The 18,421-nt window shown below is 36.8% G+C and overlaps 1 protein-coding gene across 4 annotated transcripts in view, besides 2 other annotated features; it reads right to left on the bottom strand.

Annotated features, from left to right (window-relative positions):
• Positions 1 to 18,421, bottom strand: part of HCFC2 (host cell factor C2) — a 41,994-nt gene that overhangs the window by 12,664 nt on the left and 10,909 nt on the right. For all 4 annotated transcript variants that reach the window (NM_013320.3, XM_047428753.1, XM_017019242.3 and 1 more), the window contains exons 4-10: positions 14,208 to 14,416; positions 13,031 to 13,115; positions 11,255 to 11,361; positions 10,960 to 11,148; positions 6,847 to 7,014; positions 5,823 to 5,875; positions 298 to 475 (exon numbers count right to left, since the gene is read on the bottom strand). In NM_013320.3, coding sequence (NP_037452.1) covers positions 298 to 475; positions 5,823 to 5,875; positions 6,847 to 7,014; positions 10,960 to 11,148; positions 11,255 to 11,361; positions 13,031 to 13,115; positions 14,208 to 14,416 — 989 coding nt within the window. The remainder of the gene's footprint in view (positions 1 to 297; positions 476 to 5,822; positions 5,876 to 6,846; positions 7,015 to 10,959; positions 11,149 to 11,254; positions 11,362 to 13,030; positions 13,116 to 14,207; positions 14,417 to 18,421) is intronic.
• Positions 15,190 to 15,359: an enhancer, noted in NCBI's record as "experimental_23722 CRE fragment used in MPRA reporter constructs". NCBI's record gives its function as "activates a minimal promoter by MPRAs in K562 erythroleukemia cells, with activity observed for the introgressed 12:104472365 or rs17192854 variant allele {active_cell/tissue: K562}" and the evidence as "EXISTENCE:reporter gene assay evidence [ECO:0000049][PMID:34662402]".
• Position 15,274: a transcriptional cis regulatory region, noted in NCBI's record as "Neanderthal adaptively introgressed variant 12:104472365 (GRCh37/hg19 assembly coordinates) or rs17192854 in the experimental_23722 CRE". NCBI's record gives its function as "modulates activity of the experimental_23722 enhancer by MPRAs in K562 erythroleukemia cells {active_cell/tissue: K562}" and the evidence as "EXISTENCE:reporter gene assay evidence [ECO:0000049][PMID:34662402]".

Genomic DNA, 18,421 nt, shown 5'->3' with positions numbered 1-18,421 from the left:
TAAAAGAATCCCTAACAAATCTCCTAATCATTTTCTACTATAGTTCTTCCTGATGGAGAGGCTATTCTTTAAAAAAAAAAAAAATTGCCTCATTTAAATTCCATAGTTCATAACTAATCATTACTGTTCAGGTAAGTGCTTACTTGGTATTTTAACATTATTCTAACCAGGTTGAATATGGCAGTTTTTTGCTATTAGGAAAATGGATCAAAACTGTACAACATTTACTTTTTCAATGACTATTAAATTCCCCACCGATTTTATAAAAAGCTTTAGTTTAAAATGTCATCCATATACCTTCATTTTTCCTTAGCATATCCACCACATGACTATTATGATTAGAAGCATTTGATGCCAAAGATGGATATAAAATGGCATTAGAATCCGTCAGTGCTTTAAAGTCTGGTTTGTTTTTCATTGAAGTTTCTTTTGTGGCTGGCTGTTCAGTTTTTGTGCTGTTTATTGTATCATTGATCTACAAGAAATATAACAGATTACTGTAGTAAGCAATATTCAATGAAATACAAATACATGTAAAAAACAAGCAAAATAAGTTACAATTTAAATACTTTTTATCAAAATAGAAAACACCTAAAAATTACATTATTAATTTCTACAGGATTATTCTTCAATTTTATAATAGTTTCTAAGAAAACAATTTCTTTTCACTTAATCTCCATGCTCAAAAGATCAGTTTTGAAGAGGAAAGGGAGAGTATATTTTGAGGAAAAAAAACTACATTTTAGTAAGTGATAGCTAGTATCACAAGCAAATACATATATAACACAGGAGAGAACAAAGCTACTGGGTCTGGTCAAATTTTCTTAAAGGGCAGACATGTATCCTAAAAATATGATAACTACAAAAGTAAAATCTCAGCTATATGGAATCTTCAAGCAAATAAACTATTTTATATGACTGAGTTTTCCATATAAAGATTTCATACATATACATATCATTATCCTATACCATGAAGTATTTTGGATAAGAATCTCCCTAATTACATTTTTCTTAACCTTCTTAAACACACTATAATAAACACATTCACACTTTTTAAAAAAAATTATTACTACTATTATTATTTTTGAGATGGAGTTTTGCTCTTGTTGCCCAGGCTGGAGTACAATGGTGTGATCTCAGCTCACTGCAACCTGCACCTCCTGTGTTCAAGCAATTCTGCTGCCTCAGTCTCCCAAGTAGCTGGGATTACAGGTGCCCACCACCATGCCTGGCTAATTTTTTATATTTTTAGTAGAGACAGGGTTTCACCATGTTGGCCAGGCTGGTCTTGAACTCCTGACCTCAGGTGGTCCACCCACCTCAGCCTCCCAAAGTGCTGAGATTACAGGAGTGAGCCACAGCGCCTGGCCTAAAAAAATTATTTTTATTTTTATTTTTTTTGAGACAGGATCTTGCTCTGTTGCCCAGGCTGGATTGCAGTGGCACAATCACAGTTCATGGCAGTCACTGCCTGCCAAGCAATCCTCCTGCCTCAGCCTCCCAAGTAGCTGGGGCTACAGGCACACACCAGCATGCCCAGCTAATTTTTCTATATTTTGTAGAGATGAGGTTTTGCCATGTTGTCAAGGCTGGTCTTGAACTCCTGAGCTGAAGGATCTACCACCTTGGCCTCCCAAAATGTTGGGATTATAGCTGTGAGCCACAGAACCCAGCCGCCACATTTAAAATCTTTTGATAATTCAAGTCATCAATGTGAATATCAGTTATTAAACCTATAGGTCTACCTAACCATAAAAGTGACCTGGCTTCATTCAAATACCCTAATATTGTTGTTCTTTCTAATTACCTGTTTTTTGTTACTGTTCTCTCTCTATTTTTATTGTTGGCTCATAATTTCTCATAGCTCTGAGGATACTTGTCTATAATATGCCCTGTGCTTGCCCTTAATTGGTGGTGCTACTGTTTATAAGTGATGATGATAATGATAGCCACAACTATGCCAGGCATTATGGCAGGCAGTGTACTATATATATCCATAAACTCTGTATCTTACTTAATCTTCACAAGAATCCTATCAGTAAGATAACTTGACCCTTTTTTTATAGATGAAGAAAATGATACTCAGAGAACTTAAGTAATACACCTACAGCCAGGTAGCCAGTAAGTAACAGCTAGAATTCGAATTTGGTTTATTTCATTCCAAAATCCTTACATCTGGAATGTGCTTTTTGCTTAAAATCAGACACTCAGTCTAACTGGAATTTTATAAAATAAGTATAAATAAATCTTGAGAATTTTCATTAAACACGATAGATTAAACACATTTGCTCTTCAGGAGATTTCTCCAAAACCCAATTCAAATGACAAAAAAGGAATTTTTGAAAGTATGAAGCTATAACCTTTTAAGGAAAAAGAGAATGGCAGAAGAGAAAATAGTAGATAAGATGTAAGACAGAAAAGCTGGAGCTAAGAGCCTTCTCCTAAGTGGAAAGTCACTGAGATGTGGCCCATTTGTGCCCCAGGGCCCAGTGCAGTCAGTGGTGGCAGAGGTGCAGAGTACAAGAAAACGCTGGAGGCCTGTCACACAGAAGCCTGTTTAAGAAGGGCTGTAGCCCTAGTTCTGCTCTCCCAGCATACCAAGCCAGAGAAATTCCTCTCCTCCATTCTAGCTGAAGATGGGAAATAGGCAGAAAGGTTGAAATGTGAGTCTCTAGACTACGCTACGGTATCGCTCAAGTGATACAAGTATGAGGATGATACAAGTATGGGGAGAGGCACCCCTACTGAAAATAGGAATTAAATGAAAGTCTAAATGCTGAACAAAAAGATACCTTCCCTCCAATCCCCTTACTAAGCTCCCAGAATTCTGATAGCCAGGCTCATAACCCCTAAGCAAGAGGTTGGAGAATTCTTAGGGGAAACTAATTGGTCTAAGAAAAAAGACCCACTGATACTTACATTTGTTGGTCCCCGCCCACTTACTCTTGTTAAGGTTTACTAAGCAACAAGCCACACCCACATGCATAGGCCTTCCAGGCTTTTTTAAAGCCTCACTTTAAACAAAAAGGGACAGCCAAGTATCACCAGACACTTGATGACAACCTCTAATGTGGAAGTCCAAGGTTAAAACACATTGAAAAATAAAAAGGAGCTTGAAAAAAAGAAACATAACAAAGAGCAGACTAAAACTCCAAAATTTTTGAAGTATAATTCTTCAAGAGAGAAGGAAAGATATTATATTTATGAAACAAGAATAGGGTGCTATTAACAGAAATAAAGAATAAAATGAGGCTTTTAGAAATTAAAAATGTGGTTGGATATATTTAAAATGTAAAAATTGGAATACACAGAGAAAACAGAAGATAAAAAGCAAAATCAGAGGACTAGTTTATAAAAAAAAAAGAAAAGAAATTGAGGGAAGAAATCATCAGTAATGAAGGTCATGAGTTTCCCGAACAATGGGATCCACTGGGTGAGGCACACCAAATGAAGACATGCACTCTAAGGCACACCATTGTTGAAATTTCAGCATACTGGGGATAAAAAGATAAAAAATTAGGTCATATATAAAGGATCAGGAATCCAAATGGCATCACACTTTTCAATACCAACACCGAATGCTAAAAGACACTAGAAAAAATGCCTATAAATTTCTGAGGGAAAAACTTCCAATATAGGATTCTATAAGCCAGCCAAACTATTAGTTAAATAGGCTAAAGATATTTTCAGATATGCAAGATCTCAAAAAATTTACCTTTCAAAAGCCCACTTCTCAGGGGGTTGCAACGAAATAAAGGAAAATACAAAGAAAGAGGAAGAAATAAGGTCAAGAAATATGGGCTGTAACACAGGAAAGAGATAAATTCCTATTATGAAACAGAGAGAAGTTAGTTCTAAGGTGACAGCTGTGCAGCAGGCCTAGAGAAGAACCAGTACATAAGGACAGGGGGCTCCAGGAGGAATGGTTCCAAGGGGGGAAAAAAGAAACTACCTTTATGTCCAAATATCTTAAGTTTTATAATTTTTTAGAAAATTTGAGTATGAATTAATGATAGACAAGAAGAAAACTAAGCAAGTGAAAAAGTGAGGCCGTTAATGCCAGGAAAAACAAAGTTGCATGAAAAAGGAGTAATTATCATAGCACACTACATGGCTCACCTGCAACTATTTCACCATCACAGTGTAAACATCAAGTCATAATTCTACTAAAAATATGTGAAGGATGTGGGAACAGGAAAGGAGGGGATGAGGCAAAATTGTAAGAGATCATTAAATTGTCATCTTTCATTATTGAAGACAATTGATCTAAAAGTAGACCCTTCAACAACATGAGTTTGAACTGTAAGGGTTCATTTCTGTGTGACTATTTATTTATTTATTTTTTGAGACGGAGTCTTGCTCGGTCACCCAGGCTGGAGTGCAGTGGCACAATCTCGGCTCACTACAAGCTCCGTCTCTTGGGTTCACACCATTCTCCTGCCTCAGCCTCCCAAGTAGCTGGGACTACAGGCACCCGCCACCATGCCCGGCTAATTTTTTGCATTTTTTTTAAGGAGAGACAGGGTTTCACCATGTTAGTCAGGATAGTCTCGATCTTCTGACCTCGTGATCTGCCCGCCTTGGCCTCCCAAAGTGCTGGGATTACAGGTGTGAGCCACCACGCCTGGCCGTGGATTATTTTTAATAAATACAGTTGGTCCTCCATATCTGTGGGTTCCACAACCTCAACCAAACACATATGGAAAATACAGTATTCGCAGGATGCAAAAACTGTGGATACAGAGGGTCGAGTTTCCGCATTTGCAGGTTCCACAGGGCCAACTGTGAGACTTGAATATCGAGGGGACTGTGGGGGGTGGGTCCTGAAACCAAAGCCCTGCAGATACAGAAGGACAACTGTGCATAGTTAGATACCAAAAGAAAGCTACGATAGTTTAAAGTAGTTGCTTCTAGGGAACAGAAATCAAGAGCAGGTAGGGACAGGGTAGGAAACTACTGCTCTTCATCATAAGCTTTACAGTATCATCTAAATTTGTGATACACACACATACACATATATAGTATATAATCAACATATAACATAGGAATATATATAATAGAAATATTATGTCTAATATGACAGGCTACTTACAAACTGTATGAGCTTTACTTGTAATAACCCCTTCCTGACATACTATAAGTATGACATGATATACTTCTGGACCTATGCCTTTACTGGTCTTCAGTCATACTCAGAACGTATGAGCCAATACCTACATCAATTTCCTTGAAAACAGTCTACTGAGGTAGATGGCAGTTTACCAAATAAAAATAATGAATCTTAGTAAGCATATTCGTTAGTCTCTACCAAGACCTACTGTGATGCACTTCATAAACAAGAAAGAACCTCACAAGTGTTCAATTTAGTAACTGATATTCTTCAGTAAACAAAATACACAGTAAAGAAAATATTTTATACATATTTTTAAAGTACATCTTTAGATGTTTGTTTGTGTGACATTTAGAAATGGCAAAATAATAAACACATAAGTACACATTACATTCAATTAGTCTGATGCTCTGTGTAATGCAGCTAGGCTTCCCTTGGCCTGGGTTTTCAATTCAGGCTTCTGTCACAGCGATCTGTGAAGCTTTCTTCAAAAACAGAGCTACCTGGGCATTTTCCTAAAGATTCTGCTTCACTAGATTTGAGGAAGAGCTTGGGAATCTGTGTTTGTTTGTTTGTTTACCTCAGAGATAACTCTCAAGTGCAGGCAGGATTAAGGACCCCTCTTCTAGAGTAGTAGTATGCTAAATATCTGAATAAAAATTGAGACTATAACCATAAACATCCAATTACCTTCATACACTTTTTTACTTACACTGTTAGGAACGATGTTATTACTGCCTTGTCTGTGAGGGTCCATCCTGACTCCTGAAGGAATGAGAAAGGTTCAGACTGATATGCTCTTAACTAGCTTCAATAAAATATAATTAAATATTTTTAAAGTTACATATTAAAGTTTAAAAAGTAGTATCTTTACCAAAGGTTATATGTTTTCTTAATAGTTTGCTTAAGTTGACTGAAATCCTCTCTGGAAAAATGTGCAAAATTTGTGTTTGCTTTTACTTCCAAGGCCTATTTAGTTAAAAATACTTTTGAAAAAAGCTAAGATATTTATGAAAGCAAATTAAAGCCATCTGCTGAAGTCAACTAATATGTCAATTTAGGAAAGTACATAAAAATGAACTGCAGAAAACACAATCTATCCTACGTGTCTATGTGTTCTACTACATCATAATGGTAAGACATCCAAGTTTTAGAACTGAAATACAATGTATTTGAATTATCAGGCATGGACCTAATGTCATAAAATTTCTTAAACCAAACCTAATCACAGACTTTTCTGCAGTGTATGTGTGTATATATATATACATATATATATATATATATGTATATATATATACACACACACATACACACACACACACACACACACACACACACACGTACTGCAGTATATGTGTGCTTGTGTGCGTGTGTGTGTGAATTTTTTTTTTTTTTTTTAAGACAGAGTCTTGCTTGTTGCCCAGGCTGGAGTGCAGTGGCATGATCTCAGCTCACTGCAACCTCCACTACCTGGGTTCAAGTGATACTTTTGCTTCAGCCTCCCAAGTAGCTGGGATTACAGGTATGCACCACCATACCCGCTAATTTTTGCATTTTTAGTAGAGATGGGGTTTTACCATGTTGACCAGGCTGGTCTCAAACTCCTGACCTCAGGTGATCCACCTGCCTCAGCCTCCCAAAGTGCTGGGATTACAGGCGTGAGCCACCGCGCCCGGCCAGTATATATTTTTAAAAGCATGTGAGCACACATACTTTAAGCATGAAAATTATGTTACCTTGCATATTTGGTGCTGCTGAAGAATCTGATGATGCAGCTTGGTATGGCAAGTCTGTACTCAACTGCAAAAGATAGCCCTCAACTGTAGACACTTCATCCCACTTGACATGAAAGGAGTTGGTAGTGGCTTTGATCAGCTGTACTTGAGATGGTGCCGGTGGTTTCTCTATAGAACAATCATGATATTATACATTTAAGTTTCCAGTGTATAAATGGTTTGCTGATATAATTTGTGTGGACCAGAGCTTTGAAAACATCAGCAATGAACATTTCATCTGCTTACCAAGACAGGGAAAGTTTACTCAGATAAACACAGCTACAGTAGGTCAAATAAAAATAGTTTGGGGTTCTTATTCTATTTATTTATTTATTTATTTATTTATTTATTTATTTTCTTAGACAAATATATCTATAAACAAAACAATCCAGTACGAAACTACCAAACTATATGAGTCTTCAGATTTGGAAATGTGTTTAATCCTAGAAGGAGTTTTTCTGGGGGAAGCTGGGAATCCTAGAAGGTTTTTGGGGGGAGGCTGGGGAGAGGCAAGGGGAGCCAAGTATTAAAGCTACATTATTTTATCTTTCTTAGAAGTTCTAATATTCTTTAATTTTATGAGCCAATTTTCAGCCAACAGCGTACATTTTAGCAATTCTGTTAATGTTAGCAAAGATAACTTGGACATGATATTTTACAAAAGCATAACTTCTCTGAAGTTAATACTCCCTTATCAAGACTTGTACTACCAGCTGGGCATGGTGGTTCACACCTGTAATCCCTGCACTTTGGGAGGCCAAGGCAGCCTGGCCAACATGGTGAAACCCCATCTCTACTAAAAATACGAAAATTAGCCAGGCGTTGTGGCTGGCGCCTGTAATTCCAGGTACTCGGAAGGCTAAGGCAGAAGAATCACTTGAATCTGGGAGGTGGAGGTTGCAGTGAGCCGAGGTCGCAACACTGCACTCCAGCCTGGGCGGCAGAGTGAGACTCCGCCTCAAAAAAAAAAAAAAAAAAAATGGTGGGAGGAAGAGATAAATCCTTAACTTCCATAGCAGAAAGTGAGCACATTATTGCCTAAATGAAAAAAAAAATACATCAAAGTAACAATATATGCATGTGATATAGAGATATGGAAGTAAAGAATCATTTAACAGAGTTAAGAACAAATAAATGCTTGTAAAGCAAGTAAAATGAGGAAAGGTGCGAGCAAAGAACGTGATTTTTCATAGAAAGCCTCATGGAATTCTATTACTCTTTTACATGCTATCAAATGCAAAGTTTAACTAAAAGTGAAAAAAAGAAAAAAAAAAACAAGATGAGCCCCCTCTTCCACCAAAACTGATGCTAACTTATCAAGAGGAAAAGCAAAATCTATATTTTGCCCTTATGATCATAGCCATGATTACTTTTAGAAGAATACTGATATCTAAAGCTCATTATGAAAAGGTTTATAGAAAAACAGGCCATTCAAATCCAATTTTTAAAAATCTTTTTAAGTCACAGATCCCTTAGAGAATCTGTGCAAAGTGATATAATCCCTACAGAGAAAAATTCAGTCATACACATTTTTTTCATCCAATTTCAGAGACTGAAGCTTATCCTTAGACTTTAGTTAATAATTTCCAATTTCAAAGATAAACTAGTAAGTTGAATTTTCTATATTTTTTTCTTGCTTGCTAGTATATGCTTCTTCCACAGAAAGCATTTACTCTCTTGTTTCATTATTTTTTCAACTATCTTAATTTTAAAATTAAACTCTTTTTACATTACAAAAACAATACATGCTACTGTAGAAAATACAGACAAGTAATGACAGAAAAGCTTTGAAGAAAATGTATAATCTCAGCTCTCAGATAATGCTTTGGTGTGTGTCCTTCCAAGTTTTCTATTTATAATTTTGAAAACACTGGAGTCATTATACGTTTTATAATCTGTTTTTCTCATATAACATCACATATTACATCTCCAGATCTAATTTCTCTAATGGCCTCTAGATTCATCTATTCATTCAAATGCCTGCTTGATCTTATTTCAAACTTAGCATGGTCTAAATGGAACTCTTGATTTTCTCCACAATGCTGTTTTCTCTCAATCTTCCCTGTCTCAGTAAAATTCAAGCTAAAAACTTCATCCTCCATTCTTCCCTTTCTTTCACTTGCCACACAAATTATCAACCAGTTCTGTCAACAAGAACTCCAAAATATATCCTGAATTTATCCAGTCCTCCCCTCCTCCATTGTCACCACTATAGTCTAAAACGCTTTTTTGACTACTGCAAGAGATTTCTAACTTGTCTTGCAGTGTGCACCTACAATTTTTTCCATACAACTGCCAGTGACCATTCCAAAATGTACATCAGAATGTGTCACATCTCTCCTTCAAACTTACACAAAACTTCCCACTGTACTTTAAAAATAACTTAGAAATTCTAACACCACATTCAAGGCCCTATATCCTGTGGTCATCTCTCTAACCTCCATTCCTACACTTTCCTCTTTGTTTACCCAGCTCAAATCTGTTGCCAAACACACCAAGTATTCCCATCTCAGACTCCTTGTATGTGCTGTTCCCTCCTCCTGCAGTGGTTTCTCTGGCCTTTTTATGTGGGTAGCTCCTTCTCACCATTCGAATCACATCCCATGTCATCTCATCACAGAAGCCTTTTTTGACTACCCACCCTGAAGCAGCCACCACTCCCACGCCCAATACCTAACACCACTATCTCATGTATTCATATGATTAACAGAAACTGAACTTATTTTGTTAACCTGTTTCACTATTGCTCATTATCTCCTTGCTGTCGTACCCCCTCAGAATGTAAGTTCTTTGTGAGAGCAGGCGCACTATCAGTCTTGTTCGCTGCTATATTCTCAGCATTTAGAACAATTCCTGCTACGCAGCTGTCAATCAGTATTTATTCAAAATCGATGTGAGGTACACATTTTTAAAAATTTTGGTGCTTTAATAATTATTTTCCCCCTTTCGAGATGGGGTCTTGCTCTGATACCCAGGCTGGAGTGCAGTGGAGCAATCAGAGCTCACTGTAGGTAGACTCAGACTCCTGGGCTCAAGTGAACCTCTTGCCTCAGCCTCCCAAGAAGCTGGGACTATAGGCATGAGCCACTGTGCCTGGCTAATTTTTTGTTTGGTAGAGATGAGGGTCTCACTATGTTGCCTGGGCTTGTCTTGAACTCATGGCCCCAAGCAATCCTCCTGCCTCAGCTTCCCAAAGTGCTAGGATTACAGGTGTGAGCCACTGCACCCAGCCTCTAATATATTTTTTTAAAATCTTTTATTTTAAAATAATTTTAGATTTACAGAAAAGTTGCAAAGATAGTACAGCATTGCCATAACCCCCTGACCCCAGCTTTCCCTTTTCTCCAGCTTCCCCTAATATTACCACATTTGTTAAAACTAAGAAATTATTGGTGTAATACTATTAACTCAACTATAGACAACTCAGATTTCACCAGTTTTTCAATTAATGTCTTTTTTTGTTCCAGGATCCAATCCGGAACACAACATCACATTCAGTTGTAATGTCTCCTTTGTCTCCTCCAGTTTTTGATTATTTCTTAGTCTTCCCTTGTTTTCCTTCACTTTGAAACTTCTGAATAGTACTGCTCACATATTCTTTGTAGAAGATCTAGAATGTCCCTCAGTTTGGGCTTGTTGATGTTTTCTCATAGTTAGGCTGAGGTTATGGATTTGGGAATACCACCGAGGTACTTTCACTTATCACATGATATTAGGGAGTAAATGATACTAACTTATCACTAGTGATATTAACCTTGATCACTTGATTAAGGTAGTGCTTGCCAGGTTTCTCATGCTTGCCAGGTTTCTCGTGCTTGCCAGGTTTCTGTAAAGCTACTATTTTCCCTTTCCATACTTTATTCTTTGCAAAGGAGTCTTTAAATCCAGCCTACACTCAAGGAGAGGATAATTATATACTTCTCAGGAGTGGAGAATAACTATACATATTGTTTCTTCCATTCATACTTAATTATGGGAAACAAGAGGTAGTAGCATTTACAGTAAGTCTCAAAAGGCAGACATTTGAGTGCTTACCTAAAGGAAAAAGTTTATTTGTTAAATATTCTTACCTACCAGTATCAAGATACCAAAGATCCTTGCAGCAAACTTGACTATTCAGTGCTTTTTTGTAGCCATCTCTTCCACTCCAAAAATACAATCGAGTGCCGATTGCAACAGCACAGTGGCCAGCTCTTGGTCTTGGTCTTGAATTTTTTTTATCTTCCTGAGAATCTGATACTAGGGTGGTCCACTCTGTTGTATCTGAAAAGATAGAAATATCCATGACTAATCTTTTGTTCTTAACAAAATTACAAAAATTATCTTATTAATAAAGATTAATTCAATGAGTAACTCTTAAAAGACTCACCCAGATTTAGGTAAGAAAATGAACTGGTACATCTCCATTCACAATCATGAGGTGAAGTCTCAGTATTTTCCCCCTTATGTGGGACCCATCCACCAAAAATGTACATCCTGAGCAACAACAAAACAAAAACATAAAGTAGCTTATTTCATTTTACTTCTTGGATTTGAAGTGCTAAGAATAGAAAAATTTCCTATCAGTTGACTCAGAGCTTCAGAACTATTCATTCGCTTACCATTGTCAAGGTAATGGGAATAAGAAGATGAATAAAGTGGTCTTTTTTCAAGAGTTTACAATTTTATGAAGCAGTACAGAATCACAATTATTTCTCTCTGGCAAGTTACTTAAAGTGAAGAATATTTCAACTATAATATACTTAAAAATCAATATTGCCTATAATATACTAAGGGTACCTCAGTCAGAGAGACACTCAATTGATCTATGACATCCAAAGTCAAATTTAAAATTGTATGCATATAGTAACCGAAGAGGATTAAATTTCATATAACTTTGGTCATTGATATCACTTAAACAAAAAACTTTAAACTGTGTTCCTTTAGGGCCCTAGGAGTTCTTAAGACAAGCCTGATGGCTGCTGGAAGAGAAAGGCTCATTAGGCAGAAATCAGGGCCCATTTGACCTGATGTCAACCAGATCTATTTTTTTTTTTATGCCAACCAGAGATTTTTTTTTTTTTTTTTTTTTGAGACAGGATCTTGTTCTGTTGCCCAGGCTAGAGTACAGTGGCATGATAACGGTCCACTGCAAACTCAACCTCCTGGGCTCAGGCCATCCTTCCACCTTGGCCTCCCAAAGTGCTGGGATTATAGGCATGAGCCACCACGCCTGGCTACAGCTCTATTTTTTAAAATCCATTTTATATGTTGGGGTTTCAATGGAAAATTTCATTTTATAAAATGCCTCTTCAGTTAAAAAAATGTATAAGATTTTGTTTAAATGTAAAGACCATCCTGTTTGGTTTTGAGTTTATTTAAAAAAAAAAAAAAAACTAGGTTCTAAATTACAACAGTCATTTCCTAAACTATTACATTTAATATTTAATATTACTGCAATAGTAAATATTTCATTAAATTCTAATTAAACAGTACTTCTAATTGTGGCACAATGTTGCACAAATAAGGGAATTTGTTGATGGTAGTAACAGTCAACATTTATGGAGTGCTCACTTCATACCAGAAACTGTTCTAAGCATTTCATATGTATTAATCCATTTAGTCTTCATTACAGCCTTGTCAAGTAAGTTTTACTTTAATCCACATTGTATACTTAAGGAAAGTGAGGTACAAACAGATTAAATTTTCTTGCCCCAGGTCAAACAGGACAAGTGCCAAAGCTGAGTCTTGAATTTAGGCAATCTGGTCACAGAGTTTGTATTCTAACCATCAACTCTATATTGCAATCTAAAGCATAATCATTAAGAGCATGTGCCTCAGTACAAATGAAGCACTACCAAAAATATGAAAAAGGAAAAGTGAGTTAGGTGATTAGTTTGGCAACACCCAGGTTAACACTTACATAAAGCCTACACTGGGCAGGGCATTATAAGGAATGCAAAGAAGTAAAAGAGAGAGCATAAGAAAATGGCACATTAAGTATTTTAACTTCTACAGACAAATTATTTTAGCTTCAGTCAGCACAATCAAACTTTGTTAAGTTTCATAATCTATTTCCAAGAAACTACTAGCATTACTTTCTTTGTGTGCTTCTTAAGTTGTTTTTTTAAAAAAAACAGAAGCAAAATACAAAAAACCACCATACTTGTTTCCTATAACACTGGCTGTATGAAGGCTTCGTGGAAGTGGCACTGTCCCTTTAGTTTCTGGTTTTGACCATGACATAGTTTCTAAAAGTAAAAATAATTATATTAGCAACTTGATCTAACAAGAGTAAATTACCTCAACTTCCATAATTTTAAAAAATAAAACAAGGACTTACCAAAATGAAACAAAGTATTTTAGAACAGTTATTTGAACATTATCTTAAACATTTCCAGCTTACATAAACTGCCAATCAGAAATTTATTTACACTTAATGTTAGTACAGTTAGCCCTCCATATCTATGGGTGCTGCATCCATGGATTCAACTAACCACAGACTGAAAATATTCACAAAATCTTTGGCTGCACTGCACATGTCTTCTTTTTGTCATTATTCCCTAAATAATACAGTATAACAACCATTTATATAGTATTTACACTGTATTAGGTGTTACAAGTAATCTCAAATGGAGATGACTTAAAGTATATGGGAGAATATGCAAATACTACACCATTTTATATCAGGGACTTGAGCATCCATGGATTTTGGTATTAGGGGAGGTCCTAAATAAATCTTCCACAGATACCGAGGGATGACTGTATTTGTAATAAATAAGTGTGCTTAGGGTGCCACCAATTGTGAATTAAAAACAATATTAGAGATTTTACCACTTTAAGTAAGAGTACACTGGACAGAAGATAGTCAAAGGTGAGAGGCACACTACCCTCCAATCATTCATTCCTAGGATCCCTTTAGAGAGAACTACCTAAGGGTTTTTTACTGACCACGAATAACATTGTTAATGCTACATTTCCTGTAGATAGGGTAACCATATAAAGTTATCATCCCCAACAGGACATTTTTCAGAGTGAAAGGGAGTATTGTACTATTGATAATTACACAAGACAATAAGCATAAACCAGAATCATCCCAGGTAAACCAGGACATAAGGTAACCCTATTTATAGAATGCACAAGAGAGTTACTGTCATAAACCAAACATTCATTTTCTCAATCTGATTTATCAGCAACCATTCATATCACACATACACTGTCCCTGGGGCTACAAGTGCTGGTTATAAATCTAAGTACAACTCAATAAATACTGCAATCAATAATATTTTTCAAAGCATTTTTTAATTTGCCCTATTCCTGAGCCTGAATCAAGTTAAACTTACCTAAGTCAAGCTGCCATAGGTCATCCAGGCGAGCACCACACATTCCACCAAAAACATACATTTTAGGACTTCCAGAATCTTTTTTGCAATATATAACAGCTGTGTGGGATTCTCTTGGAGAAGGCACAACCCCTTTAGTCACTGGAATGCTCCAACCCACAACACCAGAGCCATGCTGTAGCTCCAACTCATAAAAATCATTTAAATATCTAGGATATCATAGAAAAAATTAAAACATTCAGATAATATATACCCTTTATTTGCATTTTATTTCTATTTATAAAGATAAAATGTGCTTACTGTGAAAAGTTCATATAGTACAGAAAGGCATTAGGAGAGCAGAAACCCCAAACCTCATTCATACAATACATACTTATCAAACACTACTATGTACCAGGCACTCTTCTGGGGCTCAGTAGTGAGCAGAAGAGATTAAAAATAATTCCTGTCATCATTTAGCCAACACTCTTATCAATGACAACTTGCCAACTGTTGGTGTTAAAACATAGCTACAAATCCTCTGACAATCTTCCCATCAGGAAGTTGGGTCTATGTTCCCTTCCCTTGATTCTGGACTGGTTTGTGACTGCTTTGATTAATAGGGTATGGTGAAAGCACACTACGTGACTTCTGAGGCTGGGTCACAGAAGGCCTAAATGGCTTAACTAGAACACTCACTCTTGGAATCCTGAGCCACCATGTAAGAAGTTCAACTCCCATAAAACTACCATCTGGGTGGCCATATGCAGCTATGTAGGGTGACAGAACCAGCTGAGTTTGTCCTTCAGCGTTGCAGTTGAGGCATCAGACATAGAAGTAACCCCTTCAAGCCTTCTCAGCTGACTGCCCAGCCATCCCTCCTGTGGCCTATTTGAATTCCTGACCCACAGAATCCATGAACATAATCAAATGGTTATTATTCTGCATCATTAAATTTTGGGGCAGTTTACTGTATGGCACTAGATAACCAGAACAATCACTATTGAAAATATTTTGATAAATATCCCTTAAGACACCTCTGTCTATGGATAAACACATATGGATAAATGAGGCATACTAAAAATGCTGCTTTGTAACTTTTAAAATTTTCACTATAATGTCATAGCAATGTCCTACATAGCTTTTTAACTTTAGAAAGTGGCACTAAGTTTCATGGATGTTTTGAAGTTTTGAGCAAAATGACTTTTGTAGAAATCTATTTCCTACAAAATTATTATTCAAGTGTAAGGGCAAAAATTGTAACATTTCAGGACATATAAAACTTCAAAGTTTAGCTACATAATTGTTTTGCGGAAAATAATTCTAGGATGTTATCTAGGAAAAAGAAAAATAAATCTAAGAATACTTTGAATAGGCCTGGCGCGGTGACTCACGCCTGTAATCCCAGCACTTTGGGAGGCTGAGGCGGGCGGAACACGAAGTCAGGAGATCGAGACCATCCTAGCTAACACGGTGAAACTCTGTCTCTACTAACAAAAATACAAAAAATTAGCTGGGTGTGGTGGTGGGCACTTGTAGTCCCAGCTACTCGGGAGGCTGAGGCAGGAGAATGGCATGAACCCGGGAGGCAGAGCTTGCAGTGAGCCAAGATCGTGCCACTGCACTCCAGCCTGGGAGACAGAGTGAGACTCCGTCTCAAAACAAAAATAAATACATAAATAAATAATAAAGAAATAATACTTTGAATAAGAGAAATGGTAGTAATTTATGATTACATCTAAACTGATGTTCAAATATATGGTTATGAGATCTAAATAACCACTAAGAAGAACTTACTACAAAGTTAATTTTTAATATTTATCATAACCTGGAATAAGATTCAAAAATATATGGAACATACAGAAAAAGGAGGTAGGCAAAAGAATGTTTAAAAAAAGACAGTAATTTATTCCCAAGGATGACAGGATATTTTCATTGTAAACATGTGTTAATTTCCAAGCAACTAAGGTATGCACAAAATTAGCACATATAATTCTCAAATCACTAGAGGGAAACAGTCAAAGAAAAATAATAAATAGGGAAAAAGTAAAGAAATGGGAAAAAAAAGCAAAGTATAGTATATAGAAAGCAGTTAATAAGATAGTTTAAAAAAAAAAAAAAAAACAGGCCAGGGGCCAGGCACGGTGGCTCATGCCCAATCTCAGCAGTTTGGGAGGCCGAGGCGGGCAGATCACCTGAGGTCAGGAGTTCAAGACCAGCCTGGCCAACATGGTGAAACCCCGTCTCTACTAAAAATACAAAAAATTAGCTGGGCGTGGTGGTGGGTGCCTGTAATCCCAGCTACTCAGGAGGCTGAGGCAAGAGAATCACTTGAACCTGGGAGGTGGAGGTTGCGGTGAGCCGAGATCGCATGGCTGCAGTCCAGCCTGGGTGACACAACGAGACTCCGTCTCAAAAAAAAAACAAAAAACAAAAAACAAACAAACAAACAAACAAAAAACAAAAAAGCCCCAGCATAAACAATGTCAAAAGAAGAAAATACAAACTTAAAAAGTTTAGTACACGTTGGAGAAAAAAAGGTCAAATTTTCCTAAAAATCCAGATAATGACCGCTCACACAACAGACACAGATAAAAAGATATAAACTGACAGTTCACAGAACAGGAAATAAAAATTATACAAACATATATATATACACACAGACACAGACACAGATGTATAAACACGCACGTACACGAACACACATATACATATACATATGCAAATGTTTTCCCTCATCACAACTTAAAAAAATCTGGCATAGGCAAGAAAAGGGAGGAAAGGCAACGAAGCAGAGTGGATGGAAAACACAAAATACAAGGGCAGAATAAAACTGCCCTATTATAAGACAAAATCTGATCAGGGTTGGTGGTGGGGGCAGGAATGCAGGGGAAACAAAATACAAAATACAAGCGCAGAATAAAACTGCCCTATTATAAGACAAAATCTGGTCAGGGTTGGTGGTGGGGGCAGGAATGCAGAGGAAACAAAATACAAAATATAAGGGCAGAATAAAACTACCCTATTATAATACAAAATCTGGTCAGGGTTGGTGGTGGGGGCAGGAATGCAGGGGAAACAAAATACAAGAACCCCAAATCTAAGTATAAGCTATGAAAATCAAGGATAATATTAAAACTATCTAAAACTAATGTGGCATAGGCTTAAACTGTTGAGAATGGATATCAGCCAGTATGCTATCCAGTTCATATTGGCTATTAGCCCCATTTACAAAAGACAATCTGCAACAAAACGATGTACACAAGTTGAAAATTAGATACACAAGAAACAAAACACAGATCCACAATCACAGTGGGAGACTTGAGCATGTCACTCAAAAGTTGATAAGACCTAGACTCACAAAATAAAAAAGCTTCGAACATTCATTTAATAGAGCCAGGTGCAATGGCACATGCCTGTACTCCCAGCTACTCAGGAGGCTGAGGTGGGAAGATTACTTGAGCCTAGGAGTTATCCAGCCTGAGCAACATAGCAAGAACACATCTCTAAAAGCAATAATAATAAATACATAAAACATTGATTTAATAGACAAAGAACCTTGTACACAGTCAAGAACTCATGGTCTTAATGAGCACCTATGGAATCACAAAAATTGACTGTGAAATAGGCACAAACACATCTTTATAGACCACATTTCCTGACCACAATATAATAAAACTAGATATTGGCAATAATAACAAAACTTTCCACTTGGAGATCTTTAAAAAATTGTAGCAAATTACTTTTAAAGAGAAAATAGAAATCAATGACAATAAAAGCAGTATGTATCAAACCCTACGGCATACGGCCAAAGATATAATCACAGGAAAATAACACTGAAAAAAAAATGAACTAATGAGCATTCAAATTATTAGAAGTTAGAAAAAGCATTCAAACTACTAGAAGTTTAAAAGATGCTGGGCATGATGGCTCAAGCGGGTAATCCCAGCACCTTGGGAGACTGAGGTAGGAGGACTGCTTGAGGCCAGGAGTTCAAGACCAGCCTGGACAACATGGCAAGATCCTGTCTCAACAAAAAACTTAAAAATTTAGCCAGGCATGGCTGCATGTGCCTCTAGTCCTAGCTACTCAGAAGGCTGAGGTGGGAGTATAGCTTGAACCCAAGAGTTCAAGGCTGCAGTAAGCTATGATTGTGTCACCACCCTCTAGCCTGGGTGACAGAATGAGATTCTGCCTCTAAAAAAAAAAAAAAAAAAGGTTAGGAACAAAAGTTG

This window comes from Homo sapiens, chromosome 12, assembly GCF_000001405.40.
Source record: "Homo sapiens chromosome 12, GRCh38.p14 Primary Assembly".
Lineage (NCBI taxonomy): Eukaryota > Metazoa > Chordata > Mammalia > Primates > Hominidae > Homo > Homo sapiens.
This window is presented reverse-complemented; position numbering and strand designations above follow the sequence as displayed.